At 37.5% G+C, this 15,676-nt stretch overlaps 3 annotated features.

The window, feature by feature from the left end:
- Positions 8,721–8,840: an enhancer, noted in NCBI's record as "active region_20288". NCBI's record gives its function as "activates an Ori minimal core promoter by ATAC-STARR-seq in GM12878 lymphoblastoid cells {active_cell/tissue: GM12878}" and the evidence as "EXISTENCE:reporter gene assay evidence [ECO:0000049][PMID:35858748]".
- Positions 10,335–10,384: an enhancer, noted in NCBI's record as "active region_20289". NCBI's record gives its function as "activates an Ori minimal core promoter by ATAC-STARR-seq in GM12878 lymphoblastoid cells {active_cell/tissue: GM12878}" and the evidence as "EXISTENCE:reporter gene assay evidence [ECO:0000049][PMID:35858748]".
- Positions 11,189–11,806: an enhancer, noted in NCBI's record as "OCT4-NANOG hESC enhancer chr3:118198933-118199550 (GRCh37/hg19 assembly coordinates)". NCBI's record gives its function as "activates a minimal SCP1, AML or CMV promoter by ChIP-STARR-seq in naive H9 embryonic stem cells {active_cell/tissue: H9 hESC(naive)}" and the evidence as "EXISTENCE:reporter gene assay evidence [ECO:0000049][PMID:30033119]".

A 15,676-nucleotide genomic window follows, 5' to 3' on the forward strand; every position in this document is an offset into this window, starting at 1 on the left:
ACCTAAAATGAGAGAGTTAGAATGGATTATCCCCAAATGCCCTTCCAGCATCCAGAGATTTAATTCTCATGACTAAACATTAATGTATATAATGGATCTCATTACAGTTCCTTCCTTTGCTTATCTCATCTATACATTTCTTGAATCATAAATCTGTATACTTCACTTGTTTGCTCTCTTTGTCTATACAGCAGGGGTGCTTGGGGGGCCAAGACTGAGTCATCTATTTCCTTAGGTTCCCATCAGAAGCACCACTGAAGGTTTTGGCTTGTAGAAGTTACTCAGTGAAACTTTGTCATGACAAAAGGCACATTAGGGGTCATGATCTGTGCTGTTGTGTTTCTTGTTGAATGCTTCAGATGTTACACATTTTATCTTTATTTCAAAGGAAACAGTCTTGTTTCTGTTTTATTATAAAGCCTATCACAGAATGTTCTGTTTCCAAGTCATACAATGCTGATGGCTCTATGTCAGCAGCTTCCAAATATCTAGAAAAGGTTGGCTGACACTGACCCCAGGGTTCAATTAGCTTGGCCTACTACTATGAACCAAATGGTGTGGCCTTTGTTAATGAAACCTGTGGTGCTGTTCAGCCAAGCTACATGCAAGTGCAAAAGCAAAACATACTTTACATCTCAGATAACAATTTGAGGGTTTAGATGATTTCCTCACTAGATTATCTCCATCATTGTCTCCTTCAATCTGTTTCCCTCTCAGGCTGGTCTGCTAAATTTAATCTGATTCAGGAACCAGTGAGGCAGCAGCTTCTTGCTATTGTGTAGGATAGTTTTACTATCATGTCATCAAACATAAACTTTGTTGTCTTTATTCCAAAATATGTTCTCTAATTTCTCATTATTAAACTCCCAGTCTTAGTCTGTCTGTGTTGCTATAACAGAAAACCTGAGACTGAGTAATTTTTAAAGAACAGAAATTAATTTTCTCACAGTGCTGGAAGCTGGAAAATCCAAGATCAAGGTGTCAGCAGGCTCTGTGGTCTGGTGATTGCTGCATCCTCCAGAAGGGAGGACTGCTGTGTCTTCATGTGGCAAAAGGTGAAAGGGCAAGCAAGTCAAATGCTGCATGAGGCCTTGTTTATAAGAGTGTTAACCCCATTCATGAGGGAGGATCCCTCATGGTCTAAAGCATCCTCTTCTTCATACTATCACATCAGCAACACCTGAATTTTAGAGTGCACATAATCAAACCACAGCATTCTACCCTTGGTCCCCCCAAATGTATGTTCTTCTCACATACAAAAAAATTAATTCCATACAAATAGCTCCAAAATCTTAACTTGTTTCAGTATCAACTCAAAAGTTTAAAGTCAAGAGTCTCATCTAAATTAGATATGGGTAAAATTCAAGGCATGATTCATCCTGAGGCAAATTTCCCTCCAGCTGTGAGTCTGTAAAATCAAACAAGTTATGTGCTTCCAAAATACAATGGGACAGACATAGGATACCAAAAGGGAGGAATAGTAAAGAAGAAAGGGGTAACAGGTCTCAAGTACGTCCAAAACCCAACGAGACAAACATTAGATCTTAAGATTCAAAAATATTAATTTTTTTTACTATATGTTCCATCATCTGGACACACTGAGGTGGGATTTGGATCCCCAAAGGCTCCATGGCTTTGCTGGGCACAGCTCATATCATAACTCTCATGGGTTGGAGTAAATGTCTGCAGCTTTCCCTGGCAGGAGTTGCACACTGGTGGCTTTAGATATCTTGGGTCTTAGCAGAGACCCTGACACATGGCTCCACTGAGCATTGCCTTAGTGAAGGTTTTCTTCTATACCCAAACCCCATAATTACACTGGATATTGCCCTCACTGAGGGCTCTCTACAGTGACTCTACCCTGTGGCAGGTCTGTCCTAGGGCTATCTAGGGCATTCTTTGAATCTAGGTAGAGGAAGCCATGCCTCCACTGTTCTTGCACTCTGAACTTTTGAAGAATCAGCAGCATATGGATGCTGCCAAGGTTCACTGCTTATACCCTCTGGAGCTGTGGCCTGACCTGTATCTAGACCTGTCTGAGCCACAACTGGGGCAACTAAGGAGCACTGTGTCAGAATATGCGGAGGAAAGACCTGACATGGCCCTGGGAAGTGAGCACAGATATCCCACAGGCATCTCAATCTACTACCCCAAAACACCTCTACCCCCAGGGCCTAGCACTCTGGGCCTGTGATGGGCATGGCAGCACCAAAAATCTCTGATATGCCTTGGGGGCCATTCTCCCATTTTCTTGATGGAAAACACATGGCTTCCTTCTATATATTAAATCTCCTTATCAAAGTGTTGTTTAGTCACACTTTTGGTTTTTTCTCCTAAACATTCCTTTTATTCTTTATATGGCCAGGTTAAAAAATTTCCAAATCTTTGTGTTCTGCTTTCCTTTTAATTATGAATTCTGTCTTCGAGTCCTTACTCTCTTTTTGCATTTTTCTATAAGCCATTAAGAGAAGTTATGCAGCATCATGAACACTTTGCTACTTAGAGATTTCTATCACCAAATATCCTAGTTCATTGTTCTTAAGATCTACCTTTCACAAAGTCTTAAGACCCAGACAAAATTCAGCCAACTTCTTTGCCAATTTATAACAATCACCTTTCCTCTGGTTCCCAATACTTTGTTCCTAATTTCCATCTGAGGCCACATCAAATGGTCTTTACTGTCCTTATTTCTATCAGCATCCTGATTACAACCAGTTAGATAATCACCAAGAAAACTGAGGGTCTCCCTACAGTATTCCTCTTCTTCTGACTCTCACCTTTAATTTTGCCTTAATGCTCCATTTACAACAATCTAGGTTTTTTCCAGCATTAATTTCAAAACTGTTCCATCCTCTACCCATTATCCAATTTCAAAACCATTTCTACATTTTTAGATATTTGCTATAGCAGTATTCCACTTTTGGTACTGATTTCTTTCTTAGTTTTCTTTGTGCTAGTATAACAGAATACCTGGGACTGAGTAATTTATAAAAATCAAGAGACATATTTTCTCATAGTTCTGGAGGCTGAGAAGTTCAGAATGAAGGCACCAGCAAATTCAGTTGTCTCGTGATTGCTGCATCCTCCAGAAAGGAGGAAGGCTGTGTTATCACATGGCAGAAGATGGAAGAGCAAGCTAGCCAAACACCGAGGGAAGCCTCTTTCATAAGGGTGTTGATTCCATTTGTGAAGGAGAAAGTCTCAGGGTCTAATCACTTCTAAAGGTTCCACCTTTTAATATTACCACATTGACAAATTTCCCCCTATGAATCTTGAAGAGGACACATTCAAACCATCGCACCCCCTTCCTCCTTGCTGTTGTCTGAGTCAGACACTTGCTTTGTCTTAAGGCCACTTCCTTGCAGAGGACCTGATGGGCTAGTATACAATTGCCACAGCGGACCTGATTAGGGCAGCCTTAGGGGACTCATGGGAGAGAGCAGCACCCTGAAACTAGAGTGTTTCAATTAAAGAAAAAAAAAATCATTCCCAAATTGTAAAGCGCAAATTTTGACTTTGAGACAATTTTATCTCCATCTGGGCCTAGAAATATTTCTTCATATTTCCACTCAAGTGAGACCAAGCAAATATCTTGGTCAATTTAAAAAATCAGTAATCCCAAGAATCTGTGCATGAGGCATACAGCAATATTTTTTAACATATATACCTTCTGGACCAAAAGTAGAGGCACATGGCTAAACAACATGAATATCCTCCTGGGTTCAATCTGAAGTCCAGGGAGGTAAGAAGTGTGCTAGCTTGCAAACATCCCTCTGGCTGGGATCTGGATTTAAACACTCATTTATTTAGGGTATTGTTGGTTTTGTTTATAGAGACGGAAACTATATGTGATATGAGATCTGTGGCTGATACAAACTGCTGAAGTTAAGCAAGAGAAACATGTTTGGTATGAGTCATCACAATCAGGCCACCCAAAGAAATTGCCTCCCAAGTTACAGAGACAGGCTGTGTATCAGGATGGCAAATGGGAGGTTGCCTGAATAAAATAAACAGGCAGTGTAGAAAAATGAGGTTGATTTTAATATGATTATTTTACATATTGGCCTAGATGGGTAGAATCTATCTACAGCTTCTGTTTTAGAGAAGAGCAAGACATGTTGGAAACTACAGGGTCAATAAAGTCAATGTAGTAGTGAGCTTTGAAGAACCTGAACCTCAAATAATCGAATTCTACCCTGTTGATCACCATACCCTCTACTACCACCACCATAAGTTTAACAAGAGAGACATTAAGAGGTATTACAGCACCGCTTTCTTACTAGCTGCACAAGTGTCCAACAATTCTAATTCTGACCACTGATCAGATCAAATCTGAGCTGAAGCATGGGGTTCTAGGCCATAATTGCCCTATTCGACTCTGATCTAAATTTTTGTTTTTAATTTACCACTATGCAACAAGGGCAACAGGGATGAAAAAGCAAAAGAGAAGATGGAACAAAGATAAGTTGTCCAGGCTTCCCTGAGAGGCCAAGCTTCAAGCCCAGTAACTAGTGAGCTATATTGCCATGTATGAAAACCAGGGGTGTCCAGATACTCATGATGCAACAATCCCCTGGGCCCACCTGATTTCAGGCCAGCCCAGCTGTGGCTCATGCTCATTGACAATATACCACATCAAGCACAAACCACCCAACCACATGCAATTGCAACTTAAAAGTGTAGGAGAACTTCATCTCAAGTAGAGAATAGGAGCTGGTAGATAAATGGTCTAGCCTTTGCATCTCCTGGTAGGATAATTCTAAAGCAAGTTCTGGAAGAGTATAGAACTTGCCAAATAGCAATTTGGCAGAGCTGAGCCCTTATTACCCTCATGTCTTGGTTTACTAGGGCTGCCATAACAAAATACTACAAACTAGATGCCATAAATAACAGAAATTTATTCTTTCATAGTTCTGGATGCTAGAAGTCCAAAATCAAGGTGTTGGCAGGGTTGGTTTCTTCTGAGGCTTCTCTCCTTGGTTTACAGATGGCTGCATTCTTGCTGTTTTCAGCCTTTCCTCTATGTGTGCACATGCCTGTGTTTTAATCTCCTCTTCTTATAAGGACATCAGTCATATCATATTAGGGCCCAGCTCTTTGACCTCATTTACATAATTCAGCCCATAACGTCCCAGTAACTAAATGTGTACTTTATTGGCATTTCATCTTTCTTTGTCTGGCTTTTCCCCTCCCACACGTATGCTACTGCGGATTACTTCCCAAATAAACTACAAAAATCTATCTTTGTCTCAAGGTCTGTTTTCAGAGGAACCCGATCAACTATCTTAAACTCTGACCAACAGAATTAACTGTTCCATGGGGGAGTTAGGAATATGTTGGGCATACACAGGTCTTGCTTGTGATTCGTCATTAATGTGTTCCTATCTCTTCAAACCCAATATTGTAGGTACTTTGATCTAAATTTGGGAAACTCCAAGAACCAGATAAGATAAAGGCATGCACACAAATCCACCTGTCTGCCTCAACCCTGTCAGCAAAATTAAGTTTGGTGCAAAATGTAAAGAGACATTTAAATGTCTTCTCAAAAGGGTAGGGTGAGTGTATTTAGCAGCACATGGCTGTGATACTCCCCCTGTGGGGCACAGCAAAGTGCCTGCAAAATACTGAGCATTGAGTCATCCAGACATTTGTGTGCATTTTCCCAAAAAGGAAAAGTAGGATTCATCACCTCTTGGATCCAGAATACTTTTCTCTTTACTTTGAATTCTTCTCATTTGAATTTTAGAATGATAGACATGTTCTCAGTTGAAATGCTGTGGGTTTCTTTCTCATTGCCCTTCATGCTGCCATGAGTTCCCAGTTTCTTTATTTGAATTCTGTAAGCTGTTAGTCTAAAAGTGGCCATCGTACCTCTAAAAAGCTTACCTAAGTTGACCTTTTAAAATAATCTACTATCTACTATGAATGACCTATGTGTGTATGTCAGCTAATGAACATAAAAGCAAACAAACTACAACCTAAATAAATAATCATAATACTTGCATTTCATCATCAATGAACTTAGCATATCCCATGCTTGCAATGGACTTAAATGAAATCAAAATAGCTATGATTTAATGAGCTTCTAATATATGTCAGTCTCTTTAAGTAATTATCACAGGTCATACGCCAAAAAACCCTAGGATATAGATACTACTATTCTTGATGTTTTTAATATGAGAAAAGGGATTTGGAAAATATGATTAAGCTAATAAATAACATAAATGAGATTTGATCCCAAATCTGAATCTAAATATTTTTACTTCCAATGATTCTCAACCAGGAATGACCATTAAAATTTATTGGAGAGCTTTTAAAAGTTGTAGGTTCTGCTATACAAACACTCAAGAATATTTTTAGATGTAACATGGACTTAAATAAGAAAGCTAAAAAGAATCAAGATTCTAGAATAAAATACAGTAAACTATTATCATTACCATTGGCTAGGCAGATTTTTTTAAATAAGATTCAAAAATTACTGACCCTTAAATAAAAAAATAACAGATTGGACTTTACTAAAATTAAGATCTTTTAATCAAAAGTCACCATGAAGAGAGTAAAAAGATAAGCTAAAGACTGAAAAAAATCATCAATACATTTATTTTATTTATGTATTTATTTATTTATTTATTTATTTATTTTAAGACGGAATCTTGCTCTGTCACCCATGCTGGAGGGCAGTGGCGCGATCTTGGCTCATGGCAACCTCTGCCTCCCAGGTTGAAGTGATTCTCCTGCCTAAGCCTCCTGAGTAGCTGGGACTACAGGTGCATGCCACCACACCCAGCTAATTTTTGTTTTTTAGTAGAGACAGAGTTTTACCACGTTGGCCAGAATGGTCTCCATCTCCTGACCTCGTGATCCACCCGCCTCGGCCTCCCAAAGTGCTGGGATCACAAGTGTGAGTCACTGTGCCCGGCAATACATTTATTTTAAAAAGTTTGATTCAGAAAATAAACATTTTATAAAGTGCTCAACTTTAGTCACCAGAGGAAAGCAAGTTAAAGTCACTATACACTTACCCAAATGACAAAAATTTAAAGGTCTGACAATACCAAGGTTTGGCAATATTGTAGAACAACACAAGGACTCCCTTAAATTGCTAGTGGGAGTGTTAAATGTGAGATCACTTTGAAAAACTATATCTCAGTAACTTTGAAAGATAAACATCCCTATATCCTAATGAATGACATAGCAATTCCACTCATGAATATATACCAAGCAGATATAAATGCTTTATATATCCAAAAAAACATAGATAAGGATGCTCATAGCACCTTTATTCATAAAAACTAAAAACTATACATAACCCAGGTGTTCATCAACAGTAGAATGGATAAATAAATGATACATTCACACAACAGAATACTACGTAGCAATGCAAAAGAACAACCACTGAAAAATAAAACATGGTCAAATTTCACAGATATAACATTGAGTGGAAGAAATCAAACACAAAAGAGTATTCATTATATAAATCCATTTATATAAATTTCAAAAACAGGCAAAATAATCTATGGGGAAAGAGGTAAGTGTGGTTATCCTTGGAGGAAGGGGGTTTACTGACTGAAAAGGATAACATGAGTTTTCCAGAATCTGGATATCTTAATTTATTTTTACTTTGGCACACAGGTCACACAGATGTGTGGATGTATATGTTTATATATGCTCATGTGTGTGCATAAAAATCATGACATTTACACTTAGGATTTATGTATTTACTATCTGTAAATTATACTGTATTCTTTAAGTATAATTGCTGGATATCTCTCTTAGGCCTATAGAATCAGAAGCAGAGCTGAAGAATAAATATACACAAGTATATATATTTTTAAAAAGTATCCCAGGTGATCCAAGTATTTTGGTATACATCCTTGTTTTCAAATCACTTTATCCCTAGACTCAGGGAATTCAAGAACTGTGCAAAGAGTCAGCCCTCATGAGTAAAAGTTCTGGCTCTGCAAATAACAAGCTGTGTAACCTTGGGTAATGCAGTCATAAAAAGTGGCGTCTAGACTAGATGAACTCTCTGGTTCCTTCCAACACTAATGGTGTAAATCTTATGACAGAAATCCATATCAATCAGCCAATACACACAATAAGCCCAACATTAAAACCCAAGGGAAGTAGGTGGTTGACTATGTGATCTAATTTCAATTACGGCTACCCAAAAGTTCTTTCACTCTAAGTATGTATTACACTCTATCTTTAGAAATTCATTCTTCCATATTGTGCTTAGGCAAATTCTTAAAAGATGGTAACACATTAAGCTAATCATTAACACTCCTTTATGGATGTGACAATAGACCAACTTCAATTTCATAGTCACTAAAATTCTACCCTTTAAGGACAGTATGTAGAATCAAACTACAAAAAAATGTAGTTTGGTATATAGCAGAAAGAACATAGAACTGAGAAAGAAGAATCTGCTTTCTGCTTACACTTATACCACTAATTATTTCTATGCACACTTATGCCCCTAATTAACTGTGTGTCTTTGAATAGGTCCTTTTTCCCCTCTGATCAACCATGAGTGAAATATGAGGACTGGAATACATCATCTCTTAAGTGTCATGAACACTACTACATGATTCTCTGAATCTTTTTCAGTCCTGATATGGGGAAAGTGAAAGGTAATCTTGAGTTCTCAAGTGAAGGCACTGCCATTCTGTAATTTTGAGAAAGACAGCCACAGCAACTAGGGACAGTGGCAGGAAGCTGATGGAGAACACTGAAATCAGTTTGTTTGTTTTTCTTTAAAGCCAGTTTGAGCCCTTGGGTGAGAGCAGGGACAATAACCAATTACATTACCTTTGTGCTTATGCTGCTCAAAGTGTTTACCACTTAGAATATACTGGCTGTCTCAGGGGGAGAGAAATACACTGGCGTTGTTCCTTAGGACACTCCATGTTGTATTTATATATGATATAAATACAAGTTGTACTTATAAAGTGCTATAAAAGTGCAGAGGGCAGAACCCACTGACCAGACTCCAGAAGCACGTGTAAGGACTGCACTCTGCTGTCCTCTTCCCCTTACCCAACACTGCTCATTTCCCTCCACAAGGAGTGCTGGGACTAGGACCAGCATGGAGAAGCCAGGCTTCCACATGGCCTGGGGGAGGCTTGTGGCACTGGATATAAGCTTCTAGGGCTTCAGGGGTAAGACAGCAGCTCAACTAAGGGGAATCAGATGGCTACCTAAAAGTAACATTGGAGGGAAAAATTTGAGAGGAAGGACAAATGTGTGAGAGTCACAGGGACCCTTTCATGTGAGAAAGGGAAAATGAAACGCAGTCAAATGAAAGCCATTCGATTTGTAGGCAGATGAACTTTTCATTCAAAGAACACTATCATTCCCTTTTTCCTAATGAGATTGGTGTAAACCATGTTTCTAATAAGTAGCTGATGCAAAATTAGGTGTGTTGACTTCTTTACTCCAAATACACAATCTCAAGACAATGGCTGAAATTTCAGGTTTTGATAACTGAAAGAATTATAGAGAACACTCTATCTTTCCCACTGTACCTTTCAGTCTGAGTGAGACACCAGATGGGAACGGATCCCTGGCAGAACCTCCAACAGATCTGCGCACTGAGAGGAATGTGCACTGAGGTGGAGCCTCGTCCCTTCTCTTCCTGGGTGGTACCTGGGATTCAGTCTGGGAGGCAGGAAACTGGCTAGCAGGACTATCACTTTGCTGAGAGTCCCTGTTTCCCTTTTTTCCCTTTTCACCCAATAAATTCCATTTTTCTCATCCTTCAAAGTGTCTGTGAACCTAGTCTCTCATGACCATGTGACAAGAACCTGGCTTTTAGCCGAACTAAGGAGAAAGTCCTACAACATTAGGAAGTCAGCCACTACTTTATTTTTTATTACCCTTTCCAGGAGTAAATACTGCTAACTCACGAGTTATTGTCTCAGAGGTGTTTGAACCAGAGCAACTCCACCTTGAATAGGAGCGGGGTAAAATGAGACTCAGGCCTACTGGGCTGCATTCCCAGGAGGTGAGGCATTCTAAGTCACAGGAGGGCATAGGTCCGCACAAGATACAAGTCACAAAGACCTTGCTGATAAAACTAGTTGTGGTAAAGAAGCCAGCCAAAACCCACCAAAACCAAGGTGGTGATGAAAGCAACTTCTGATTGTCCTCACTGCTCATTGTGCACTAATTATAACGCATTAGCATGCTAAAAGACACTCACACCAGCGCCATAGCAGTTTACAAATGCCATGGCAACATTGGGAAGTTACCTTATATGGTCTAAAAGGAAGAGGAACCCTCTTCAGGGAATTGCCCACCCATTTCCGAAAAAACTCGTGAATAATCCACCCCTTGTTTAGCATGTAATCAAGAAATAACCATGAAAATAGCCAACCAGCAGCCCTCAGGGCTGCTGTGCCTATGGAGTAGCCATTTTTTATTCCTTTACTTTCTTAATAATTTTGCTTTCACTTTACTCTATGGATTCACCTTGAATTATTTCTTGCCCAAGATCCAAGAACCCTCTCTTGGGATCTAGATTGGGACCCCTTTCCAGTAACAATTAGACCAGAAAATATAATTGTGTGAACTCAAGTTTCCTAGGAATTGAATGCAAACCCACAATTTCAAGTAGTCTAGGAAATAGCCATTCAACTAATAATGATAACAGGTTGCTACTGATCTGAGTCGAATAGGGGCTCACCTAAAACAATAGGGGGAAAGAAAAATCTCCCTTTTTAGAAACCTGCCTCATCCTCAGTTACTCTTAAGTGTTCTTTCTCTCTCTCTTCCCCCCTTCCCTCCCTCCCTCTTCCTCTCTCTTCCTCCCACCCCCTTAAAGAAATATTTAGCTTATACTTGTAATGAGCCTTAGGAAGCTCACTGGGGCCTTGCCTAAACATTGCCTGTAATTTAGGGTGAGTTATGTTTCAATTACCTCTATGCTATAGCATACTGGTGAGGGCAGGCATTATGTCATGTCAGGGATACAGGCGAGAGAAAATACGGACGCCCCCGTTACAGGCGGTGATGGAGCAGTTTTAATAATATCGGAAGAAAATGGACCATAAATGCCTTTCCAGCTGTACCATTAATCTGCACATTAGCGATACCACATGCTCTATTTTGGGGAAGGAGGCTGAAGGCAGGAAGGGGTTACAGGTATGGTGGGTACTGGAGTTCGTTTTCTGCCTTTAGAAAAGAGGCAAAAAAAATCCTATAAAAACCATAGAAATGTCTGGGATTTTTCTGTGAGTAATGATCTTACCAAAGATATAAAACACTAACTTTTTAATTTAAAAAAATCTAATTTCTAGTGTTTCCCTGTTTCCTGCAAGAAAGATAACTTACATGTGCTCTCACCCTCCCTCCCATTCCCTCTCTCTCATTTTCTCTGCCTCTTTATTTTCTTGACACAAATAGCAGTCATTGCTCAGAGAATGCGCAGGATTAGGCTGCTTTGTAATTCAAACATTTTATTCAGGTTACCCCTTATGTTCTAAAGAGGAAAATATGTATTGGCTAAATGGCCTTGTTATGGATATTTCCCATTGTGAATAGGAGGGTGGCTCCCCCCACACTAACCTTTCCAAACCATTACTCCATTTTTCACCTACTTCGGAATTTAGCTAATTCTAATTTCCAATTTTTTTTTTCAAATAGGGGAAAATCATATATAGATATTTTTCTTTGGCGTGATTGGTTCTTTTAAAAAGAGGAAGTGGCAAAAATGAGCAGCCACAGCCAGATGATGACCTACACTTTGAGGATTTGTGGTTTGCAGGTGTTGAGCCCCATGAAATAGAGTAAGAAAGATTAGGATGTGGTGGGTTGGTGCATCCAACAGCCCTTTAACTTTGGTTAGTTAAAACAAATACATTCAGTCAGAACTGTCTCTTATTTAATCAAGGAGGAATGTGTTCAGTATCTAAAATAAATAGTATACACGGCTGGTCTAACTTTCCTTGAATCAAAATGACAGTGTAAGCCTAAAATAAAAAGGACAATATGAAACATGACACATGCACAGAAAACTGGAAAATACAGAAAATTTTAAACCAACTGTGGTTGGGAAAGATACATACTAAAGAAAGATAATTGTCCATGTGTGGTTAATAATTATTTTTTTCATGTAGATATAATTTGGACTTACTGGAGAATATTCAAACATTTCACATAAATATAAAAACCACCTCTGTTATTATTTCAGTTATTTCTATATCTTTTAATGATTCTATCTAATGTATGGACAAAACTATCTATTTATTCATTCATTCATTTACTTAACAATTATTCATTGAGTATCTACTATGCAATAAGCACTGTTCTGCTCAATGTAAAATGAAGACATCTAGTGAACATAATACATATGGTGAATATCTTCCTGGAGTTAATAATATTCTATTGGGAGAATTAGACAATAAATCAAATACATGCAGTTTGTGATGCATGCTAGCAAGCAAATGTTATGCCAGAACAACTTTACAAAGTCTTCAGAGAAATCAGAATTATATAGCATATGCCACTCTGCATTGTGCTCTGTTTACTTAAAAGTGGTGAGAATGAGCTTATGTCATTAAATATTCTTGGAAAACGTTTCTAATGGCTGGATAGTCTGTCTTTTTAATAAACCTTAATTTATCAATTTATGAATTCTATCATACAGTCTTTTAATTTGGGGGGTATTTGAATTGTTTCCAATTATTCACATTTGTAAATAATAACAAGGACCATCTATTGTATACATGTTTGCCAACATTTCTCATTAGTTTGAGTAAATAGCTTCTAAGAAGCAGAATCACTACGTTGAAAGGTATGAGCATTTCAAAGGCTCTTGATGCAAATTGATAAATTGTTTTCGAGAAAAGTTACTAACCTATGCTCCCAACCGAATGTCCTCTTGGAAATAGCTAATATTCAAAGCATATTGACTGTGCCCCCAGATCCTGTTCTAAGTTCATTACATGGATTAACTCATTTAACTCTCCCCTATAAAGTAAGTATACTGTATTACTAACCCCATTTATTGCTGAAGATTCTGAGGCACAGAGTAGTTTGTCTAAGACCACACAGTAGTAAATAATAGTGTCAAGATTTGAAGTCAGGCAGACCAGCTCCAGAGTTCTATCTCTAATTGATTAGGCATTGTTGCTTCTGATGCTCTCATCAACATTCTGTATTGTCCTCCTTATTCTTATTATTTTGAAAGTAAATAATGTCATCCTTTTGTTCAACTTTGTTTGTGTACTTAGTAGTAGAATTAAACACTTTGTCACTTTTTCAATTTCAGTTATTCCATGAGTTCGAAATCCCTTGATTCTCTTTTCCACTGGAATATCAATGCTGTTATTTATTTTTAAAAGCTCTTTTCACATTAAGGCTACAACAGTGTCTGTTACAATAGCTATAGCATTTTTTCTCATCTTGATATTTGTTTTAAATTGCATTTTTGTATAAACAAAAGTACTATTTTTATTCATCTTTTCATACACCTATCAGAATCCTTTAATTTTTTTTGGCATTTCTCTTCCATGGCTTTTATCTAAGAAAATAGTTTTTTTGCCCGAATGTCTGTTAACTATTCACCTATATTTTCTTCTGTTTTTGTTGTTGTTGCTACATTTCTATATTTGCTTTTTAAATTCATGTGAACATTATTTTTATGTAAATAAGAGAAAAAATAAATTAGTCTTTCAAACAAAGTTAAAATAACTATTCCTGACTCACACATAGCTTCCTCATTATTTTATAATGCATTATTTGACAAATAATAAGTTTTTGAATATGCTAGAATTTATCCCAAGATTATAAGTTTTATGGATCTGTCTGGAGATATTTACATCAAAGGATATAAATTGCTCTAGCTGTAAAATCAATTTTAACGTCCAGTAGGAGACAAATCCCCCTCTCCATCTTCCTACTTTTCTTAGCTGTATTCCCTCCAGTTTGTTTTCCAGATGAATTTTAAAATTACTCTGTTATGTCTTTCTACAAAAAGAAAAATTAATAAATACAACTGATACTCATTACCTGCAATTCTATATTTGCAAATTTGCCTATTCTCTAAAATACATTTGTGACCCCAAATCAATATTTATGGAGCTTTCTTTGTCATTTACAAACCTGAGCAGAGCAGCAAAAAGTTTGCCACCCCAAATGCATATTGAATTAGGTGATGCAATGTTTTCTTGCTTCAATTCTCATACTATAAACAAGTGTCCTTTTTGGTCTTAATTTAGTGCCTTTTTTTTTCACATTTCTGTGCTTCTTGTGGATATTACTGTTTAAAATGGCCCCAAGTATAGTGCTGAAGTGCTGTCTAATGTTCCTTAGTGCATAAGGCTGTGATGTGCCATACGGAGAAAACAGTTGTGTTAGATAAACTTCCCTCAGGCTTGAGTTATATCACTGTTGGTCATGTGTTCAATGTGAATTAATCAACAATATATGCTAAATAAGATGTCTTTAAACAGAAACACAAAATAAAGTCATGTACTGATTGGTTTGTTGGGGCTCTGAAAACAATACCTTAAAATATAGTGCTTACATATGCTGAACAAAAGAAGCTTGACCTTCCCTGATCCTGTCTCTCAACAATGTCTCTCCCAAACCACAGCATATTGTCTGAAATTCCCTTACCTATCTAAGAACCATTCCCACCAAAAGAGGACGCAATTGCCTCTAATCCCTTCCCTAAATTTTTATGAACAAGAGAAAACTAAAATTCATATCACAGAGGAGGAATCTGAAAATTAACCATCACACCTACAAGCCCAAAGGAACTTCATCCCAAACTATTGTTTATTCCCCAGTCCCATTCATTTACAAAGAGAATCATCATTTACAAGCTAATTTCTGTCTCCCTGATCAATGCATTCATCTCTCCTAAAATTATTTACCATGCCTCTAAAATTGTCTTCAGTCCTCCATTTCACTCTTTGCTATGAAGTGGATGTTTAACCATCTGGCTCTTCTTTGAGCTTCATACTTTGTGTATGGCTCCTGTGTTTAATGCACATTAATAAACTTTAGTGCCTTCTTTTCTGTTAGTATGTCTATTGTCAGTTTGTTTTATAGACTCAAATTATCAAACTTTCAGGAAGGAGAGGAAATATAATTCTTTTCACAGGTTGATGAAAATATTGTGACCAGAGGCTCCTAGGATCCTAATCTTGTATGTCCCCTAGAAGTGATGATTCAGGATTGGTAAATTCATTGTTCACAGCAAATTTATAAAACATAACAACCACAAATAACGCGAATCAACGGTATTTTTATAGATATTGTTTTAAATCAATGTATTATCTTGAGAAGGATTCACTGTTTCAAAATAAAGACACCCTCATCCAGAAAAATGTTATGTTTCATAGTTATTTTATTCCATAATAGTCTACTGATTTTATTATGCTCATTCCCAGGCACTGTATTGTTCTTATTTGCTGTTGTGAATGGATTTATTTTTCTCTTATAACTTTTTGTGGGCTATTGCTGGTTTACAGAAAAGGTATTGGTTTTTATAAAACTATTTTTATCTAGTCACTTTGCAAAACTTCTTGTAAGTTGATATTTTTCCTCAGAATAAAATCAAATATTAGGCAAAATAATTCTAATTGTAATTTTTGTTCCAATAGTTTTGTCTCTTGTTCCTAGATATCATCTTGTTTTATTGGAAAGAACTTTCACAGCAAACAAC

Source organism: Homo sapiens, chromosome 3, assembly GCF_000001405.40.
Source record: "Homo sapiens chromosome 3, GRCh38.p14 Primary Assembly".
Taxonomy (NCBI): Eukaryota; Metazoa; Chordata; class Mammalia; order Primates; family Hominidae; genus Homo; species Homo sapiens.